Genomic DNA, 21,914 nt, shown 5'->3' with positions numbered 1-21,914 from the left:
AACTCAGTGGATGGGTTCAATAGCCAATTCAACACAGCTGAAGAGAGAATTGATGACCTGGAAGTTAAATCAGAAGATATCTAGGATGCAGCAAAGAGAGACAAAAAGATATACAGTAAGTTAGAGAGGCTAACATGATAAAGTCTAAATTTAATCAGAGTCAAGAAGGAAAAGAGTGGATGGAAAAAGAGAGTATCTCAAGAGGTATGGGTGCCTTTCTCACTTTCCACCGTCTTGGTGACTGCTCTTGGTTGGGGGCCATCCCACACCTAGGCAGGAAGATGGTAGCCACAAAGAAGATGAAAAAGTCACTGGAGTTGATCAACTCTAGTTATGAAAAGTAGAAAGTACATGCTGGGGTACAAGCAGACTCTGAAGTTGATCAGACAAGGCAAAGTGAAATTGGTCATCCTCTCTAACAACTGCCCAGCTTTGAGGAAATCCAAAATAGAGTACTATGAAATGTTGGCCGGACTGGTGTCCATCACTACAGTGACAATAATATTGAATTGGGCACAGCATGTGGAAAATACTACAGAGTATGCTCACTGGCTCTCATTGATCCAGGTGATTCTCATATTAGAAGCATGCCAGAATAGACTAGTGGGAAGTATACTATGCAAAATTTTTCTTTTTTCTTTTCTTTTTTTTTTTTTAAGACAGAGTCTCGCTCTGTCACCCAGGCTGGAGTGCAGTGGCGCGATCTCGGCTCACTGCAAGCTCCGTCTCCCGGGTTCACACCATTCTCCTGCCTCAGCCTCCTGAGTAGCTGGGACTACAGGCGCCCACCACCATGCCCAGCTAATTTTTTGTATTTTTAGTAGAGACGGGGTTTCGTCGTGTTAGCCAGGATGGTCTCGATCTCCTGACCTCTTGATCCACCCGCCTCGGCCTCCTAAAGTGCTGGGATTACAGGTTTGAGCCATCGCGCCCGGCCTCAAAATTTTTCTTTAATAAAACTTGCCAGAGCTTGTTTTTAAAACATTTTTAAAAAGGAGTATTGGCTGAAATTTTCTACTGCCAATGAACAACATCAATGTGCAGATTTAAGAATCCCAATCAATCCTGGATATTTTGGGGTGGCTTTATAGAGGCAATATAGCATAGTGGTCTAGAACAAAGATTTTTAAAGTTTGTAAGCATTATTGAATTCTAGTTTTGCCACTTATTAGCTACGTAGTTTTGGGCAAGTAAATTGACGTCTCTGAGCCTCCATCTCCTGATATATTAAAATAGGGATAGTATCTGATTTATTGGTTGGTTATGAGGAATAAATATGTATAAATGTGATTAGCATAGTAATAGGTCCAAAGTAATATGCAGCACATAATTGGTGATATTTTCAGTAGTGTTCAAAGGAAATTTTCTCATGATGAGTTGAAGTCTGCTTTCCGATAATTTCCATTCATTCATCTTTTATTGTTTTTAGACAGGGTCTCCCTCTGTCTCCCAGGCTGGAGAGCAGTGGCATGATCTCTGCTCGCTGCAACTTCCACCTCCCAGGCTCAAGCAATCCTCCCACCTCAGCCTCCTGAGTATTTAGGACCACAAGCAGGGATCACCACACCTGGCTAATTTTTGTATTTTTGTAGAGACGGGGTTTTGCCATGTTGCCCAGGCTGGTCTTGAACTCCTGGGCTCAAGCGATCCTACCGCCTCGGCCTCCCAAAGTGCTAAGATTACAGGCGTGTGCCACCACACCTAGCCTCCACTCATTCACCTTAATTCTGATTTCTGGAGAAGCACAGAACAGGTCTGCTTCCTAGTATATCTACACATTCAGTCTTTAACTTTTTATAGCTTGGTAACTGCAGAAGAGCAGGGCCAGGTGAACATCAGGACTCCCTGACACTGGTCATGATAAGCCAGTGTTTCATATAGTTGCAATAATTTTCTTGGCAGTGTGGAATCTCTCAAAGACAACTGGGAGTCTAAGAATTCTAGAGTGTGAGAGCAGCAGTTGGGTGTTAGAATCCAGCAAGCTCATTCTGCAGGTGAAGAATAGGAGGTGCAGGGAGTGGAAGTGACTTAGCTAGACTCAACTGGTGGTTGAGCCATCCACCTGCCTCAGCCCCCAAAAGTGCTGGGATTATAGGCGTGAGCCACCATGCCTGGCCTCTGCTCTGTATTTAGAGTAGACTTTACATCTGCCTGGTCAACCAGACCATGATCCAGGGCGCAACATATATTTTCTTTGTAGCTTGATGATGGATTTTCTAAATTTGAAAATCCTTTCATTTTAATTTCCAAAAGTCCTTTCTAAATTTAACTGAATTTGTATAGTGCTTTTTGGCTCTTCCAAGAATTCCCTTCCCATGGGAGTTGCTTTAAGTGGGCCTGGTGCTCATTCACTTGCTGACGTTTCTGACTCCGCAAGCCTCCATTTTTTAATTTGCCTGAGTTTCACCACTTCCTTTTATCAAGTTCTCCTGGTTTTGTTTGTTTGTTTGTTTTGAGACAGAGTCTCACTTTGTTGCCCAGGCTAGAGTGCAGTGGCACGATCTCAGCTCACTGCAACCTCCGCCTCCCAAGTTCAAGCAATTCTCCTGCCTCAGCCTCCTGAGTAGCTGGAACTACAGGCACACACCACCACGCCTGGCTAATTTTTGTATTTTTAGTAGAGACAGGGTTTCACCATGTTGCCCAGGCTGGTCTCAAAGTCCCGACCTCAAGTGATCCACCTGCTTCGGCCTCCCAAAGTGTTGGGAGCTCCCAAGAGCCACCTTGCCCAGCCTCAATTCCCTTCTGAACTCTATATTCATTTATGTGTTTCATATATTCATATTATTTGCCTTATTTCTTTCTTTTTTTTTTTTTTGAGATGGAGAGATGGAGTCTCACTCTGTCGCCAGGCTGGAGTATAGTGGCACGATCTTGGCCCACTGCAACCTCTGTCTCCTGGGTTCAAGTGATTCTTCTGCCTCAGTCTCCTGAGTAGCTGGGAATACAGGCGCCCACCACCACGTCCAGCTAATTTTCGTATTTTTAGTAGAGACGGGGTTTTGCCATGTTTGCCAGGATGGTCTTGATCTCTTGACCTCGTGATCTGCCTGCCTCGGCCTCCCAAAGTGCTGGGATTACAGGCATGAGCTACCGCGCCCGGCCACCTTGCCTTAATTCTTAGCAAGTTAAATTATTTGCTCTTAAAAGTGGGCTTGATGGGGAGGAGATAAACCACAGCAATATTCTTTTTTTTTTTTTGAGACAGGGTCTCGCCCTGTTACCCAGGCTGGAGTGTAGTGGTGTGCTCTTGGCTCACTGCAGCCTCAACCTCCCAACCCCAGGTGATCCTCCCGCCTCCCGATCCTTCCGAGTAGCTGGGACCACAGGTGCACACCACCATGCCCAGATCATTTTTTGTGTTTTTGGTAGAGATGGGTCTTGCTATGTTGCCCAGGCTGGGTCCCAGCAATATTCTACCAGCAATTCAGTAACGTGTAAGCACCACCCACTTTCGCGTGCTTCTCAAACCCCCACTGATCAGCTGAAGCACAACATATGCCTCTCTCAAGGTGTGAGCCTTTATGAAGACTGGCTATTTTATCTCCACGCTTTTTTATGTCCTAATAATAGTGGCTGAATTATCTGGGAAGCTTATACACATTCCTAGCCTATTAGGGCATACATCCTCCCAAGATGGCCATTTATTTAGGCTTTTAATGTCTCTGTTTATAGAATGCAACTTCGGTGTTTAGGACCTAATAGCTTTTGAATTACTCTAGGCTTCATGAAAACAGCACCATTTCATTTTTACCACCATTTTCTGAAATATGCTGGTAAAAATGAAATGGTGCTCTTTTCGTGAATCGAGTTAACTGGGGTCGCACTGTCGGTAGTACAAGTTCCATACAGCCAGGACTGGGAGGAATAATTTATGTCTTTTTTTTTCCACAGGAAAAATATAGGCCTTTCAATGCTGTAAGAGAAATTTTGTTTAATGCATAGGAAATTACTTTGGCATACAACCCAAAACTATCTGTGGAATAATTTTCAGTATCACTCATGATAATTTTTAATGTGTCAAAGTGGAAAATTGGACTCACAACCCTTGGAAAGCCTCCTGTCTGAGAACTTTTGAAAGCAGCACTGGAATGAGGTGAATGTGTAACTATGCTTCATGTCAGACCCGTCCTGCCATCTTCTGAACTTGCTGGTCACGTGAACTGGCTTGTTCTGTGAATTTCATGTTGTGGTGCCATCAAGGTTAGTAGAGTGAGGGTTGGTGGAGCCAGCTGGCTTATTCAGTAAACATCTGCCTTTCTGAAAGGAAAAGAGAGTGAAGAGGCTCATTCCTTGTGTGCTTGTGAATTTCAAATGGGCTGCCTACAGACATTGTCTACAGCATGTGGCCTAAACAGCCAGGATGAAGGAAAAATTCTCCTGCAAAATCCCTAACCTGAGATCCAATAGCCTGAAACAGTTCAGTCTTTTCCCCACTGTCGTCTAAACCTCCAGACATGTTATCACAAAGGGACAGCAATGTGATTGATGGACACAGTAATAAGAGGTTATAAACTTAATTTAATGGCAAAGGGTAAAAAATTGCATAGAGGTTATGATATAAGGCAGAAGCTAAACAGATTCCCAGAACCCCAAGGGCTAACCAGCTAATAATATCACTGCCCAGCCTGAGGACTCCACCGGGGAAAAGTAGCTTGTCTTTGCCATTCACGTGGGGAAGCCATGATTTAAATTCTCATCCCCCTGTGCCCACGTGCACCTGACTTTGGGGACTGTTTACATGCCTCCCTCCTCACCAGATGCAAGGGATTGGTACAAAACACACCCAGCACATACAGCCTGTTTACTGTGGCTGAATTAATCAAAAGTCAATTCTCTGCACAACTTATCATATCATACCACTGAGCAGAACTAGACCTCAGGCTGGAGGTCCATTCCTGTATGTCAGTAGAAATCATTTCCCTGTTGTCAAAAGACAAAATTAGAACAAATTCAGTTTAAAATATATAGATATTTTTGATTGAGACAGGGTATCCCTCTGTTGCCCAGGCTGAAGTGGAATGGCGCAATCATGGCTCACCGCAGTCTTGACCTCCTGGGCTCAAGTGATCCTCCCACCTCGGCGTCCCGAGTAGCTGGGACTATGTGTGTGTGCCAGCACACCTGGATACTTTTTTTATTTTTTATTTTTTTAGTTTTTTTAGAGATGAGGTTTTGTCATGTTGTCCGGGCTGGTCTTGAACTCCTAGGCTCAAGTGATCTGCCTGCCTTAACTAACCAAAGTGCTGGGATTATAGGCATGAGCCAACACACCCAGTTGTCTTAAAAATCTTTTTTAAGATCTGGCATTTATTTGCAATTCTACAATTGGGGCAACACCTCATTCTATAAGATAGAGTGTTTCGATGAGCCAAGCACAGGAGATTGGCTTTATAGACAGAAAAGGCCTAAGAAAACAGAAACAGAAAACAAAAAGCAGATTGGTAATTGCAAAGTTACTCTTCCTTGTAAAGCAGAGGGAACTTCTTTACCATGTTGATTCAAACTGGCCTGTTTGGGGATTTGGCTATTATCTTTCTCTGTCTCCTGATTTTTTGGAAGGTCAGATAAACAACTTAGTTTCAGTTGGAAACTCCAGCGTGAGTCACCCCAGTTTGGTTTGGTCTGTTGAATCTAGTGCAGGAGCTCAGTTCTATCCTAGAGCCTCCTATAAATTGTACTGAACACTATCAAATCCCTTTTGGGCAGCAGAGCACCTGTAGCCTAAAGGATTCAGATCATTCTGAACTGAGGGATGGGGCTGTAGGGGCAGAAAGGGACAATTTCTTTCCTCCCCATTTATAAGGGCCACACCCAACATACTAATACCAAAGACAGGTTAACAAGAGAAAAGCGCAAGTTTATTTGATCATAGTTTTACAAGACGTGTGAGCCTTCAGAATGAGTGACCAAAAGATACAGGGAAAATGATCTATTTTTATGCTTTAGTTCAATGAAGTACAGACAGGCGTGTAGAAAGGGGATTGGACAGGAAGGCTATGGTCTAATGCTAATAGACTGACGGGGGAGACCCAGCGAGGCCTGTCTGTTCAGATTCTCCGTGGCCCCTCTGTGCAGAATTCCTTCCTCTCTGGTATGGGGAAGGACCCTTCTGGGATGAGGGTCTTAATTTCTTTATGGCCAGTATCACACAGAAAGGCAAAGGGGTTAGGGATTCAAGTCATAGTTTTGGACTTTATGGCTGGCGTTGGGGGAAAGGGGTTTTGGTTTTTATGACCCACCCTGGGGAAGAGGGATTCTGGTTCCTATTGCTTGCCTCAGGACAGAATCAGGGACGAGGGACAGGAGGGCAGGAGAAGGTCAGGGAGAGACTTTGTGTCTGAGGCTGCTTCTTAGGCCTTTACTTAGAGTGTCATTTTTCTGGGCCCCAGCAGGGCCAAAATGTCTTTGCTCTGTCCCTTCAACATACAGTCAAAAGGAGCTGGAGTATTCGAGGCTCTAGTTTCTATCCCCAAAACACATCCCTGTCTCCTTTTCCTTGGGAAGGCCACTGCTCAGCTTCTTTTGATAAAAGCACAGGACAGAGACAGCCATCAAGATGTCAAATAGCTACAACTGCTATGGCTGCCAGGCAGTAGATAAACCTGAGTAAGAAGATTTCACCCACAGATACTGAGTCCTTAAGGCAGAGGGGATATTACTAAATAACCCTTTCAGTTGTGACCGCCAGCTCAGGTTTTGAGGCAGCTAGGGGTGAACCCGGTCTGCATGGACAACTGCTGGACACCAGGCTAGCTGTGAAACAACTCGTGTAGAAATGTAGCTTTCACTCTTGGGAGAAGGATGACCTCATTACCAACTTCAAAGGATGGGGTATAATGACTGATCCAGTCTCGTGATGTGCCAACCCCTGTAATCAGGGGTGTGAGTCTGTTACCATGGGAGGGTAAGAGAGGCGTTCCAGGCAGAGAATAGCCATCAGGTGTGGGTGGAATTCGAAGCCTGTTTTTCTGCCTGCAAACATGGCAGGTGTCCATTTCCATATGAATCCACAAGGACAACATATCACCTGGTGTAGGGTATTCTCATTATCTGAGCAATCATTATTCAAGTCACCACAGTTTTTTGTTTGTTAGTTGGTTTGTTTGTTTTTGAGATAGAGTTTTACTCTTGTCGCCCAGGCTAGAGTGTAATGGCACGATCTTGGCTCACTTCAACCCCTGCCTCCCGGGTTCAAGCGATTCTCCTGCCTCAGCCTCTGGAGTAGACTGCCACCATGCCCAGGTAATTTTTGTATTTTTAGTAGAGACAGGGTTTCAACAGGTTGGTCAGGCTGGTCTCAAACTCCTGACCTCAGGTGATCCACCTGCCTTGGCCTCCCAAGGGGCTGGGATTATAGGCGTGAACCACTGTGCCCAGCCGTCACCACAGTTTTTGTTGTTTTTAATTAATTATTTTTACAATTTCAGCTTTTATTTTAGACATGGGGTACCTGTGCAGGCTTGTTACCTGGATATATTGCACCCAGGCAGGATGCATTGTACCCAATAGGTAGTTTTTAAACCCATGCTTCCCCCACCTTCCTCTCTAGTAACACATGGTGTCTATTGTTCCCATGTGCCACCATTTTTTAAAGACTATACCAGGAAGCCTTTTTTTGTTACATGAGGAAATATTCATTAAAGAACTGACCACCTGTGAAATCAGTCCCCATTCAAATGTCACTCCAAATGTCAGATGAACACTAGTTAAAAGTGTCTAGATTTTGTTGCTTATTTCCTAACACCGTAAGTAAACAGGTGTGCCGACTGAGGTTACCAGGTGAAGTTAATAAACCTCTTAAGGTCTGCAGTGCTGTAGAATGCCAGTTTTATTTTTGGCTTTGCCACTAACTAGCTTTGTGAACTTTCACAAGTTACTCCTCTTCCCTGGGCCTCAGTTTCCTCATCCACAAAGCTTAGAAGTTAAAACAGATCAGTATTTTGAATCTAGTTGGACACTAAACTCACCTGGGGGGAGGTTTAATATGTGTTTTCTTTTAAAAGCTCAGAGTGCCCCTCCCTTGTTCAACTAAATCAGAATCTCAGGAGGTGCAGCCCTAACAGGTGCAGAGTTCAGATTCCCCAGGTGATTCGAATTCAGTTAAGAGTAGAAATCAACTGGCTGGGCGTGGTGGCTCACACCTGTAATCCCAGCACTTTGGGAGGCCGAGGCAAGCAGATCACCTGAGGTCAGGAGTTTGAGGCCAGCCTGGCCAATATGATGAAACCCCGTCTCTACTAAAAATACAAAAATTAGCTGTGCATGGTGGTGGGCACCTGTCATCCCAGCTACTCTGGAGGCTGAGGCAGGAGAATTGCTTGAACCCAGGAGGTGGAGGCTGTGGTGAGCCAAGATCGCACCATCACACTCCAGCCTGCGCAATGAGCAAAACTCCGACTAAAAAAAAAATGAAAAAAATAAAGAGTAGAAATCATGGAACGTGGGGATTCTTAACATTCATTCCATGTGTATTATTATTTGTTTTTCTCACAGCTTAGCTTTAGTCCTAGGGATATGTATAGGTGCAAAGGAAGTGTTTCTATAACCCCATCCCATTCCTATTAGGTTTTAAGCCTTTTTCATAAATAGCTTTCTGAGAAACAGTAAAGTCTTTGGGGAAAAAACACACCACCCCTGTTTTTGCCACATTTGCTGTGAACACAGCATTCTCACCTCACACAAATCCATGTTCCAGAGAAACAGGGTGCTGCTGCCTTCCCAGAGAAATGTCCCACAGCTGCTGCGACTAAAAGGAGGTGACAGACAGAAAAGGAACAGATATGGCAACCGTCTGGATTGAAATAATCTTTGGGCTTTTCTTGGCCAAGGTCAGCCTTGGGGTTCCCATGTTGTCTAACTCCTCTGCGTTGTCCAAAATGGCCTGAAGAACTTCTGAACATGGACAATTGTCCAGCCCAGTCAGGTCCAAGGCCACCGCTGCTTGGGCTGTGCCATCCGCTTGACCTGGGCACCAGCCAACTCCAGGCATGTTTTCCTGTTTTCTTGGTAGAGCGTGCAGGTCATTAGCCTGAAATATTGGACTGCCATCTTTTTTCCCTCTTGGAAAATGAGACTGTTTTAAGATTATTTGCAGAGGAATTGAAATAAATTGAGTGATAAAGATTTCACAACAGCTGCTTGTCATGATTAATTATCACAGAGAGTCTGGGTGACAAAGATGCTCTCCTTGGCCACATTTTAGTCAAGCTCCTCTGAGCCCTGTTTTCAATGAGGCTTTGTTCTTGACCTTGTCTTCGGCTTGCCTGGACCAGTTTTAGCAGGAAATCCAGATTCATTGCCCCTAGTCCTTCAGCTAAATCCCTCTGTTAATAATCAATAACAATAAAGCAGCAAATATTTATAAGCCTCCCACTACAATGTCTGTTTTATGCTCAGAAGTCATATTGTATTAGTTTGCTAAGGCTACTATAAACAAGTACCATAGACTGGGTGCCTACAGTATATGTATATATACCATATGGTGGATCCACAGAAGAAATCTATTCTGTCACCATCTAGAGGCTGAGTCTGAGATCAGGGTATCCACAGGGTTGGCTTCCTCCGAGGCCTCTCTCCTGAGCTTGTAGGTGGCTTTCTCCCTGTGTCTTCACGTGGGGGTTTCTCTGGGTCTGTGTCCTAATCTCCCCTTCTTAAAATAACACCTGGCATATTGGATCAAGCCCACCCGAATGACTTTATTTGAACTTCATTACTTATGTGAAGACCCTATCTCCAAATAAGGTCACAGTCAGGTACTAGGGGTCTGGACTTCAACACATGAATGGTGGGCGGTGGGGGGATAGGGGGGCGATTCAGCCCATAACATATTGGTAGCATAGAGATGTATTTGTAATTTGATGTAGGATGGAGATCTATTGATATTTATCTTCAATTTGTTTTTGTTGCTATCGACCCATCTGGAAGAAATGAAATACTTTCTCTCATCCTCTGGAAGCCTGAGCTCTCCTTTCCCTGGGAGGGAGAGCCACTTGTTTGCTTTACTGTTTGAAAGAATAGAAGAGGATATTCCAGGACTGAGTTGGACACCCTAGAAATGATTCATTCAGAGTTTTGTGTTTAAAAGGTCTATGCCCTGAAGGGGATTTGCTGTATGTCCAAGAAAGGAAGGACTTAGAGTCTGGAGATTAAGGATTTAGGAAGGGAATGGTTTTGTGAAGTGGATTCTTTGAGGCTGGGAAGGGCAAGCAGGAAGTAGGGTGTTTAGGAAAGAGGACCTCCCTTGATCAACTGAATCAGAATCTCAGGGGGTGCAGCCCTAACACGTGCAGAGTTCAAATTCCCACGATGATTTGAATCCAGTTAAGAGTGGAAATCGACTGGCCAGGCGCGGTGGCTCACACTTTCCTCCCTCCCTCCCTCCCTCCCTCCTTCTTTCCTTCCTTCCTTCCTTCCTTCCTTCCTTCCTTCCTTCCTTCCTTCCTTCCTTCCGTCTCTTTCTTTCTTTTCTTTTCTTTTTTTTTTTTTCTGACACAGCGTCTTACTATTTTGATTTCAAACTCCTGGGCTCAAGTGAGCCTCCCACGTCAGCCTCCTGAGTAGCTGGGACTGCAGGGGTGCTCCTCTGCACCGGCCCATTCTCCTTTTCTTGCATGTAAGGATAGAACCTCTGAGTGTTAGCAGGGCACATGGCCACCCAACTAGACCCTACAATTCCAAGCCTTCTTACAGCTAGGTGTGGCCACGTGACTAAGCCTGAGCAGACAGGACGTGAACAGGAGTGCTCTGAATGGCCTCTGAGTCATCCTCTCTGAGACAAAGTGAAATGACCTGAAGTTTCTCTCTCCTCATCTCCAATAGGCCAGAGCATGAACATGAATGGAGGTGAGTCAGCTTCAACCGTGCCATGAGGACCTCACCCTAGGAGGTGGCAGAGACACCGGAGGAATGGAACCCAAGTCATGGAATAACCTCACATTGCAGAGCCACCTTGCTAATCTTGGACTGCTCACCTCTGGACTATCACTGGAGAAATAAATACACTTTTAAGTTGTTAAAGCCACTGTGTTTTAGAATCTTTTTATTACAGCAGCTTACCCATATCTTATACCTAGCAAGTAAGAGCTTGAGTCAAACTTTCTATAGTGAAGAAATTCAAATCAATTATACATGCTGATAAAGAATGCTAAAACAACTTCTTCCTTTAAAGAATCTGTTATAATTGATTTTATTTTAAAATCCATGAGAACCTTTAAGTAAATTATATTTCAGTGAGGGATGGCATCTTCTTTAGGACTATGAAAGCTTTTGTATATGAAAATCTTTTTGGTAGAGGGAGGATAACACTTTTTTTTTTTTTTTTGAGGCAATCTCGCTCTGTCACCCAGGCTGAAGTGCAGTGGCCCAATTTGGCTCAATGCAACCTCTGCCTCCCATGTTCAAGTGATTCTTGTGCCTCAGCCTCCTGAGTAGCTGGGATTACAGGTGTGCACCACCATGCCCAGCTAATTCTTTGTATTTTTAGTACAGACAGAGTTTTGCTATGTTGGCCAGGATGGTCTCGAACTCCTTGCCTTAAGTGATCTGCCTGCCTTGGCCTCTCAAAGTGCTGGGACCACAAGTGTGAGCCACCATACCTAGCCACGTTATGCTTTTTTTTTTTTTAATTAATACACTGTGGAAAACTTGAAAATTAAAAAATGAGTAAGAAGAAAAGTAAAATCAACTCAGTGGAACCCATCATCAGTATTTCGTGTTATATTCTTCAGGCTTCATTCTATACATACAGGGAATTTTATTTTTGAAATTGGATCATCTGCATATACGGAATTGCATACTGCTTTATTCCCTGTAACCTCATAGCATGAGTATACTGTATTTCAAAATCAGTAGAAATCCTTGGAAAACATATTTTCTTCTAGTTTCATATTTTTTCTCATGGCTAGTTTGCATTTTGTTTGACCATGGCCTTTTACTGAACATTTAGGTTGTATCCTAGTGTCTTTGCTATTATACATTGCAGTGACAGTCTATAATGGACAGGTGTCAAAGATGTAGAACATCTTTGAACACCATTCCTATATTTGGATAACTTGGTAATTTCCCACTTTCTGAGTTCTACCTTTGCAAGGCAGAAGCCAGAAGACTCTCATTCACAGATGCCTTTGGGCTACAGTTACAAACTTGGGACATAGATTCAGATACACCCAGTGACACAGCCTCAGAGGAGGTGGGTGACATAAGTAGGTCACCATGCACAGGGGTGTGTGTGGGTTGCCTGGCAGGGGTGGAAGAGGCAGCATATGGATTTCAAGGGCTGTGGTGGAAGAACACCTGTGTGCAGACCTCATGTTGAGCAATAGTGTCTGTCACATTTTGCTAGAGCAGTTTCTACGGCACAGTGGGCATTATTCCTGGCAGTGAGCCACAGGGCCTAGGATTTAGTGCTCCCAAAGATGAGTTCTCTGAGCTTTCTGCTATCCTGTAATAACGTCACATTTGGTTTAAATAGCCAGAGTAAATTTTGCTGAAGAGGATGTGAATCAACAAGAACTCTCATTCATCACTGATGGGAATGCAAAATGTTGCAGCTACCTAGGAAAACATTTTGGCAGCTTCTTACGAAGCTAAACGTGGTCTTACCTTGGGATCCACTAATCACACTCTTGGGTATTTACCCAATTGATTTGAAGACTCATATCCACACATGTACATGAATGTTTATAGCAGATTCATCTAAAACTGGGAGCAACCAATGGCTTTCAGCAGCTAAATAGATAAACATAGTATGGTATATTTATACAATGGAATGCTATTCTGAAATAAAAGGGAATGCATTGTTATGCCATGCAAAGATGTGGATGAATCTTAAAGGAATATTACTAAATGAAAGAAACCAGTCTGAAAAAGTGATATATAACTCTACGTATATTCTGGAAAGGCGAAACTGTAGAGATGGTAAAGAGATCAGTGGTTGTCAAGGATTCAAGTGGGTTGGGAGAGTTTAAAAAGATGAAGCACAAAGGATGTTTTTAGGGCAGTGAAAATATCCTGTATTATACTGTAATGATGGATACATGATATTATGAATTTGTCAAAACTCATGGGGCTGTACAATGCAAAAAATGGACTTTGATATATGCAAAAATCATTTAATAGATCATGGGATCTCAAGATGGAATACAGAATGTAAGAAAAAGAATATAACCATAATACATGTATACGAAGGAATTTCACTGAAGGGCTGGAGGAAACAGGTGGTGATCTAAGTAACTCTGGAAACAAGTGGAGTATCTATGAATAAAGGCAAAGGGAACTGTACATAAATACTGTATTCTTGTTGATAAAGTTGTTTCCTATAGGGGTAGGGTAATAATTCTGATACTTCTATCCATGTATACTGGAATTGAATGATTGAATAAGTAGATGACATAATGGGAGCCAGGTTTCTCACTGTTAGAGTGGGAATTTACAGATAAGTAAGGGGAGGAGGCTAGAATGATCCCTGGGGTATTAGAGTAGAGTTGGAGACATCAGTATGAACTTATGTTTAGCTTAATATTAATACAGATTGTTACATACAGAAATATTTATAGCTAAATGTATTTACATAGTTTAGTATACATACATGTATTTCCTTGCTCTGTTGGCTGAGAAAGACCCTAGTAGTAATGAGCATACTTAGTGCCCAGATATTGGTTTCTAATACCATTTTTCAAAAAAAGGATTCCTAGGGGGATTCTAAGGGGAGAGGGCTCGTTCTAGAACTGGGCAGAAATATACAAGATGATTCTGGAGTATCTGATAATGCTAGAAAACAAGGAAGTAATAAAAATAAAAGCAAAAAACCCACATTGATGGGGGTATGTCATAGTGACATAGGAGCCAACTGAAAGAGCCCCCAATGTCCAAAGCTGGAATAATTTGAGCAAGAAAATAAATAAAGTAACATTGGATTATAACCCTATGTATAAAATAAATATCCATGGATCCATACTGATATAAGTAAATGGTCGAATAAACAAGAGACAAATCTTCTGTGCAGAAGAATTCCAAATAGTTACATACATATATATATATAGCCCTCAAAGAGGTGGAGCATAACTTCCTACTCTGTAATTGTGGGCTGCATAGAGTGACTTTCTTCTAAAGAGTACAGCATGGAAACAGGAAAAAAGGGCAATTTTATAGTGGAGAAACTTGACAAACAAAACCTCAGCCAGGTGAGCAAGGTCAACATCAACCATGATAAATCATGTTTATGGTATGTATCCTTGATACGATGTGATGAAAATGACATTTTACTTGTATTGTCTTCCTCCCCAAAACCTAAAACCCCAGTCTAATCATGTAAAAAAAAAATGAGACAAATCTCACTTGAGTGACAGTACACAAAATGTCTGACCAGATCTTAAAACTTTTAAGGACTTTAAAAACAAGGGAAGTCTGATAAGTTTTCAGAGCAAAGAGGAGCTTAAGGACACAGGACAATTAAATATGTATAATGTGGTATCCTGGGTGGAATCCTGGAATAGAAACAGGACATTAGGTAAAAGCTAAGAAAATATGAATACAATATAGACTTGGTTAATAATATTATGTCAATATTGGTTCACTAATTGTGACAAACGTACCTTACTAATGTATGGTATTAATGGGGGAAACTGTGTGGGGTATATGGGAACCTTCTGTACTATCTTTATAATTTTTCAGTATATATAAAACTCCTCTAAAATAAAAGTTTATTTAAAAACAAAAATACACTTGTATGTTGCTGGTACTCATCCCATCAAAGTGTTGCAGTAGCTAGTGTTTAATTTATATTTGGGACATAGGTGATGTCTGCAAGATGGTGGAATAGGAGCTTTCTACCATCATCTCCCTGCAGAAGCATCAATTTTGACAATTACCCATGGACCTCTGTGAGAGTCTGAGTCCAGCAGAGATGTTCCAGCATACCATTGGAGCAAAAAATTCGAGAATAGATGCATTGAAGAGGGTAAGAAAAACAGTTTCACTTTACCCACATCACCTCTTCTCCAAGTGAGCACCCAACTCCCCCAGCCATGCAGGATGGTACCCAAGAGGCTCACTTCTTTCTCATCTCATCCAGAGGTAATCAGTACAGCTGAGTGGCCAGAAACACGGGAAGAGAGGTCAGGGACCCTATTGAGTGCTATGTGGAGTCTATTAGGAAGCCAACTACCAGCCACTTAGAACATTTCACCTGTGGACCCCCCACCTCAGCTGACCCACATCATCCCAAATGCTCCACATACCTTATCCCTCCCCCGGCAGGTTGGCTCCCTGAGTGTCCCCTGCAGATGGGAAGTGCAAGTGTGTCATATAGACCACCAGCTTGACTCTGCAGGATTGGGAGAAGGCACACAAACTTGAACATTTCGGAGCACTGCCCTAGGGAAAACAAACAGGAGGCTCTCAATCCCTGGCCTGGCTTTATGGGATCAAAACAAGGCCTATGACCCTAAGAATTTCTGCCTCATTTGTACAGGGAACAAGAGGTGTGGAGCAGATGCATTCATAGAAAAGGTCTAGAATCCCTAGCTCAGCTGATTGGTGAAGGCATTTCTCTCTCAAAGCCAGTCAGTAAAGACTGGAAGGGTAACTGATTCTTCTTCAGTGCAAAGAGAGCAATATAAGACTTCAAGAAACATGAAAAAAATCAAGGAAACATGACTCTACCAAAGGAAGACAATAATATTTCAGTAGCCAACCCCAAAGAAATGGAGATCTATGAATTGCCTACAAAGAATTTGAAGTAATTGTTATAAGGAATCTCAGTGAGCTACAAGAGAACACAGATAGACAAATCAACAAAAAATCAGAAAAACTAACACATGAACAAAATGAGAAGTTTAATTTAAAAAAAGAGAAATCATAAAACAAGAACTAAACAGAAATTCTGGAGCTAAAGAATACAGTGAATGAAATGAAAATGCACATCAAGTGAAAAAATGGGTTATTGGCTCTGGTTTAATATGCAGCGTTTTTCTTTTTATAATGGCTTATAACATGTGGTGCATCTTACCATTAATGAATCTTAGATTTGATTAAATACAATATCACCTTTTAAAAGTGTTTAAAAACTGATGGAAAAAAGATTTGTAATTTAAATTTGTAATTTTCTTTTGGGGATTAGTATCTTTCTTATTTGTACACTCTTTTAATACATTAGTAATATTAATTCTTCACCCCTCCTTCATGAGAAATATTTTATCCAATTTTTTTTTTTGCCTTTTAGTTTTGATTATGGTGTTTCATTATAGAGGGTCTTTCCTAGAACTTCCCACCAAGCAGGCTTTCATGGTTGGTGGGTTTTTGTTAAATGATTCCCAGGGAGCAGAGTTGAGGGAAGAATGGTGGACAGGGAAGGAGGGGAAGCCAGCACAAGGATGTGTTGTTGTGTTGACTGTGTAAGAACAAATACAAATTTAAAATAAGGGGCTTAGTTCTGTCTGTTGAAAATGAGGAAAGGGATTTTTCTTCCCTACCCCCTTTTCTTAGACACCTTTCCTTAGAAAATTTATAATTGTAAATTTATATTTTCCTCTCCTCAAAATGTATCCCTTATTAGACTAGATTGGGCTTTAGTCAGCTGGCCATTTTTGTTTTCAGCTTTATGATCCAGGAAGCTTGAGAGCCATCTTCTTGAAATGCAAATATCAAAAGAGATATCTCCTCTATCTCCTTTGGGAGGATAGGAGCCTAATTTTGGTGGGCACCTTGCTCTAATTTTCAAAACTGTCTCATGTTATAAACATATAAGAAATTAATTTTTCCACTGGATAAAGCTAATAAGCTAACCTAGATGGTTACCACAATTACCAGATGAATTTAAGAGGATGAACTACATGTGGCAAATGGTGCTGTCAAGTCCTTTTACTTGAGGATGATTTATTGTTTATCTTGAGAACATGTATGTGATGGGTCGTATATGCTTGGGTACATAAAGAGGTGAGCATTATTTCTGCCTTTGCAATCCTTATGGATTGCCGGTGATGCGCATGATATTCTAGTTTGTTTCTTATTCATTAGTAAAGGTGTTTTCTTCCTATATTACCACTGTAGAGAAGATTTCTGGTTTGGGAGATTTTGATTTTAATTATATTTCCCCAACAGCTACCACTAGAGGCAACCAGCTCCCAGTCTCATGGGATCACGACATGTGAGGATCATGAGACCTTTGAGGGAATGCATCTCAGGACTTTGCACAAGGTTCAAAGGGAGAAGCATGTATTTATTGGCTCCTGTACCCCACTGGTCTAGTGGAGTGTTAAGCCCCCACACTTGTGGGCTGTGCATGCCTGAATGAAGAGATTCTCACAGTTCTCGCCCACCAGCAAGTGATAGGCAGGAAGCGGGAGGTGAGACATGTGGGTGCTTTAGGTAAGACTTTGTCAGATGGTACCTGTGTGAAGCTAGTCAAAACGAGGGCAAAGTTGGTCTCTGCTGCAGTGGCTTGAGGAAGATGATTTGAAGTAGAGAATGAGGGGTGCCTGGCACACGTAGGCTTGTTTGTTTGCTTTTGAAGTAATAAAAATCTTAGAGTAGGTTTTTCTTTGACCTAGGATGCCACAATTTAACAACTGATGTTTCCTTATTTGGTAATGCTGCCTCTCAAGTATTTACTTACAAATGACACCAAGATGGTGATGGAGAAGCAAAAGAGCAGGAGTTAATCTACTACAGCATTGCATAGGATTTTAGAGTTTCTGTGTGCCTCAGAGAACACAGAATCTCGGTGCTGGAGGACACCATAAGCATCATCCAGGCATGGCATCGATCTGAAAGATGGATTCCCTTTTCAATAACCCATCACTTCTATCATTGGCTCTTTGCTGCCAGAGTTCTTTGGTGACAAAGGATTCCAAGTGATGGTAATGACAATGGTCTCCGTCTAATGTTAGTGTTTAAATTATTTTTTAATGTCACTAGAAAATTGAACAAGTAAAATATTTAGGGTATCATGCCAAGTAAACATTAAATTAGATAAAATAAATTTATAATAATATTAGTGTCTTGCTGCATGGATAAGGAAACCAGATATGTCTTATTTAAATAGACCAAACTATAGAACATCAAGATCAGCTGTTGCACAGCACAATGAGATAGATGTTATATAAATATATTCCATCAACTATAACGAGGGGTTGAATGTTTGCCACAAAAATAAAATAACATCACTCTGAGCTGAACATATTAAAGAAAACATGAATAAAAATATTCAAACAATGAAAAATAACCCTGCACCTACAGTGCATCAGCAGTAGAATTGCTTAAAGGAGGCTTGAATGAATTGATATCAGCTACTTTCATAAAAGAGAAGAAAGAAAAAGACTGTTAAAGAGAAATGCTCTGTACTTCTGAGACTGTGCTGCGCTATGTGTTCTTAGAGAAACCTAAGACATCAGTGGGAGTTGTCAAGCGTAGAACTGTTGCAGCAGAGATGCAGTGAGGCTGACAATATACCAGCCGAGAAAACCCAAATTACAGCTAAGTTAGACAAACAAATGATAAGGAGGCCTGTAAAATGGACCACTCTAGATAGCTGAATTAGATCCAGTCTAGTGATAATATTGGTACCAAAGAAATCAGAAACTGCAGTTAAGAAAACTATTAAAGAAAACATTCCAGGCATGTAAGACAGTTTATTTCTTGATATTTCTTTTTTTCTTCTTTCTTTCTTTCTTTTTTTCTTTCTCTCTCTCCTTCCTTCCTCTTTCTCTCTCTTTCTTCCTTCCACTCTCTCTTTCCTTTCTTTCTCTTCTTTCTTTCTCTTTCTTTCCTTCTTTCTTTCTTCTTTTTTCTTTCTTTCTCTTTCTTTTTTCTTTCTTTCTCTTTCTTTCTTTTTCTTTCTTCCTTTCTATCTTTCTCTCTCTCTCTCTCCTACCTTCCTTCCTCTTTCTCTCTCTTCCTTCCTTCCTTCCTCTCTCTCTCTTTCCTTCCTCTTCTTCCTTTCTCTTTCTTTCCTTCCTCCCTCCCTCCCTCCCTCCCTTTCCCTTCCTTCCCTTTCCTTCCTTCCTTCCTTCTTTCCTTCTTTCCTTCCTTCCTTCTTTCTTTCCTTCCTTCCTTCTTGCCTTCCTTCCTTCTTTCCTTCTTTCTTTCTTTCCTCCTTTTCTTTCTTTCTTGAAACAGGGTCTCACTTTGTTGCTCAGGCTGGAGTGCAGTGGTGCAATCATAGCCCACTGCAGCCTCCTATTCCTAGGCTTCAGCGATTCTCCCATCTGAGTCCCAAGTAGCTGGGACAATAGGCCTGCACCACCATGCCTGGCTAATTAAAAAAATTTTTTTTCGTAAAGATGGGGTCTCACCATGCTTCCCAGGCTGGTCTCACTCACTCCTGGGCTCAAGTGATCCTCCCACCTCAGCCTCTCAAAGTGCTGAGATTACAGGCGTGAACCACTGTGCCTGGCTGAGAGGGGTCTTTCTGAATGGAACAGAGGGAAGCAGGATTATTGTTCTGAGAGGATGGAGGGCCAGATTGAGAAATTAATTTCATACCTCTCAGGATTTTATCAGCTAATTTCCTGTGTCTAAAGCTAATGCCATGCTTAGAAAAAAATGGACATTCTGGCAAATGGCCTGGAGCTACCCATGTGATATGGGGAAATTTAGAACCTGAATCCCCTAAACTCTTCAAAGCTTCTTCCATTTGGAACTGGGATGCAATGTGAGATTATCACAAGGGCGAAGTCCTAAACCCGCATAACTCATTATTCCCCAGCAACGTTCTTAGGCTAACACTGTCAAGAGAAGGAGAGGCTGGGTGCGGTGGCTCACACCTGTAATCCCAGCACTTTGGGAGACCGAGGCGGATGGATCACCTGAGGTCAGGAGTTTGAGAACAGCCTGACCAACATGGCAAAACCCCGTCTCTACTAAAAATACAGAAATTAGCCAGGTGTGGTGGCGCGTGCCTGTAATCCCAGCTACTCAGGAGGCTGAGGCAGGAGAATTGCTGGAACCCGGGAGGCAGAGGAGGCAGAGGTTGCAGTGAGCCAAGATCTCACCACTGCACTCCAGCCTGGGTGACAGAGCAAGACTCCGTCTCAAAAAAAAAAAAAAAAAAAAAAAAGAGAGAGAAGGAGAATGCTGGTAACTGATCGAAGACCAAGATTGCTGAGTCACAGGAGCCAAGAAAACATGGTCACCTTGTTGCTGTTTCTAAGAAGCCTAAAAACATAACAATAACAACATAGTTAAAAAGTGTTCCTTTTTTTTTTTTTGCATTTGCCATGCATAAGTCTTTTGCATGCTCTATTTACAAATGACTTTATGTGAGCACTTTTATTACCATTTTATAGATGTGGAAAGAGGGTGAGAGAGTTAAAACTTGTACAAGATTGCATAATTAAGAAGTGCCAAGCTTCCAAAACAGGTCAATCTGACTTCAGAGCCTATATTCTTTCTTTCTTTTCTTTTCTTTTTTTTTTTTTTTTTTGAGACAGAGTCTTGCTCTTGTCACCTGGACTGGAGTGCAAGGCTTGATCTTGGCTCACTGCAGCCTACACCACCAGGGCTCAAGTGATTCGCCTGCCTCAGCCTCCTGAGTAGCTGGGATTACAGGCATGTACCACCACGCCTGGCTAATTTTTGTATTTTTAGTAGAGACAGGGTTTCGCCATGTTGGCCAGGCTGGTCTCAAACTCCTGGCCTTAGGTGATCTGCCCGCCTCAGCCTCCCAAAGTGCTGGGATTACAGGCATAAGCCACCTTGCCTATACTCTTAACCATTACATTACATGGCCCACTCAGGCTTTTGAATATGGAGAGTCTCAAATCCAGGTGATGAAATCACTGACATTGCGTATAACAGAGTCTCCCCAGATGAAACTGACAGACATCCCACTCTGGTTCCCTAGGATTTGCTTCCCCAGAAAAAAAAAACAACCCAGTCCTGGTGAAAAGAGATCCTTGCCGGTTTAAATAGAAAATTTCAGCCTCTTTAGCCATCCCCCACCCAGCTGCAAAGAATGAGGGCAATCAGCAGACGAGATCTGCCAGGAATATGTCCAGACACAGGCACACAAACAGACACGCACACACACTTCCCAAGCCAAAGAGCAGTTCTTTACTTCATAATTCTCCTTTCAGATGTGGTATTTAAGCAAACCAGGAAAAGCAAATCTTCCTAGTGGCCAGAACATGCTGGGGAAGAGAAGCTCGACAAACTGATGCTTAGGGGATTTTCTGGCTCAAACCAAGGGCCAGTGTATGGTACTGCTAAAGATCTCTTCCTCCATGGCCGCCCTCCCTTTTCTAAATGGGGGTATTTGTTGTGTTACCTTGTTTTTCTTCCCGAGAAAAGTCAGAAGTTATATATACTACATTTGCAGAACATAATCTAATTTTAAGATGCTCAAGGTCATCTAGTTTGATTAAATTTAATCATCTATCAAAACACATTATCTATTACTACCAAGTGTGCCCGTTTGCTAGGGCTGCCGTAACAAAGTGTCACAGGCTAGGGGGCTTAGACAACAGAATTTTATTTTCTCCCAGTTCTGGAGGCTAGATGTCCGAGATCAAGGTGGTGGCAGGGCTGGTTTCTTGGAGGCCTCTCTCCTTAACTTGCAGAGGGTCATCTTCTCCCAGTGTGCCCACATGGCCTTCCCTCCGTCATATCTGCATCTTAATCTCCTCTTCTTATAAAGAAGCTCATTAACATGAAGGCCTACCCTAAATACCTTATTTTAACTTAATTATTTCTTTAAAGAACTATTTCCAAATAAGGTCACATGCTGAGGGACTAGGGATTCGTACTTCCATATATGAATTTGGGGGAACACAATTCAGCCCATAACACAAAGCAAGATTTCTATGATAGTCTGACTCCATTTCCGATGTGTGACTGCTGGTACATTTCATGCCCCACACCATTCTGCCCCACATCTGGGCAAGCTGATCAGAAAGCTCACATGCTCCCTCATTTGG

The 21,914-nt window shown here is 42.3% G+C and overlaps 1 pseudogene, besides 2 other annotated features; it reads left to right on the top strand.

The window, feature by feature from the left end:
- Positions 214-616, top strand: RPL30P3 (ribosomal protein L30 pseudogene 3; annotated as a pseudogene).
- Positions 9,866-11,065: an enhancer, noted in NCBI's record as "P300/CBP strongly-dependent group 1 enhancer chr2:9211073-9212272 (GRCh37/hg19 assembly coordinates)". NCBI's record gives its function as "activates an origin of replication core promoter dependent on BRD2, BRD4, P300/CBP, MED14 and CDK7 cofactors, with strong dependence on P300/CBP, by STARR-seq in HCT116 cells {active_cell/tissue: HCT116}" and the evidence as "EXISTENCE:reporter gene assay evidence [ECO:0000049][PMID:35650434]".
- Positions 19,995-20,289: an enhancer, noted in NCBI's record as "tiled region #12758; K562 Activating DNase matched - State 8:EnhW". NCBI's record gives its function as "activates a minimal TATA promoter and a strong SV40 promoter by Sharpr-MPRA in K562 cells {active_cell/tissue: K562}" and the evidence as "EXISTENCE:reporter gene assay evidence [ECO:0000049][PMID:27701403]".

The sequence above is a fragment of the Homo sapiens genome, chromosome 2 (genome assembly GCF_000001405.40).
Source record: "Homo sapiens chromosome 2, GRCh38.p14 Primary Assembly".
Classification (NCBI taxonomy): domain Eukaryota; kingdom Metazoa; phylum Chordata; class Mammalia; order Primates; family Hominidae; genus Homo; species Homo sapiens.
This window is presented reverse-complemented; position numbering and strand designations above follow the sequence as displayed.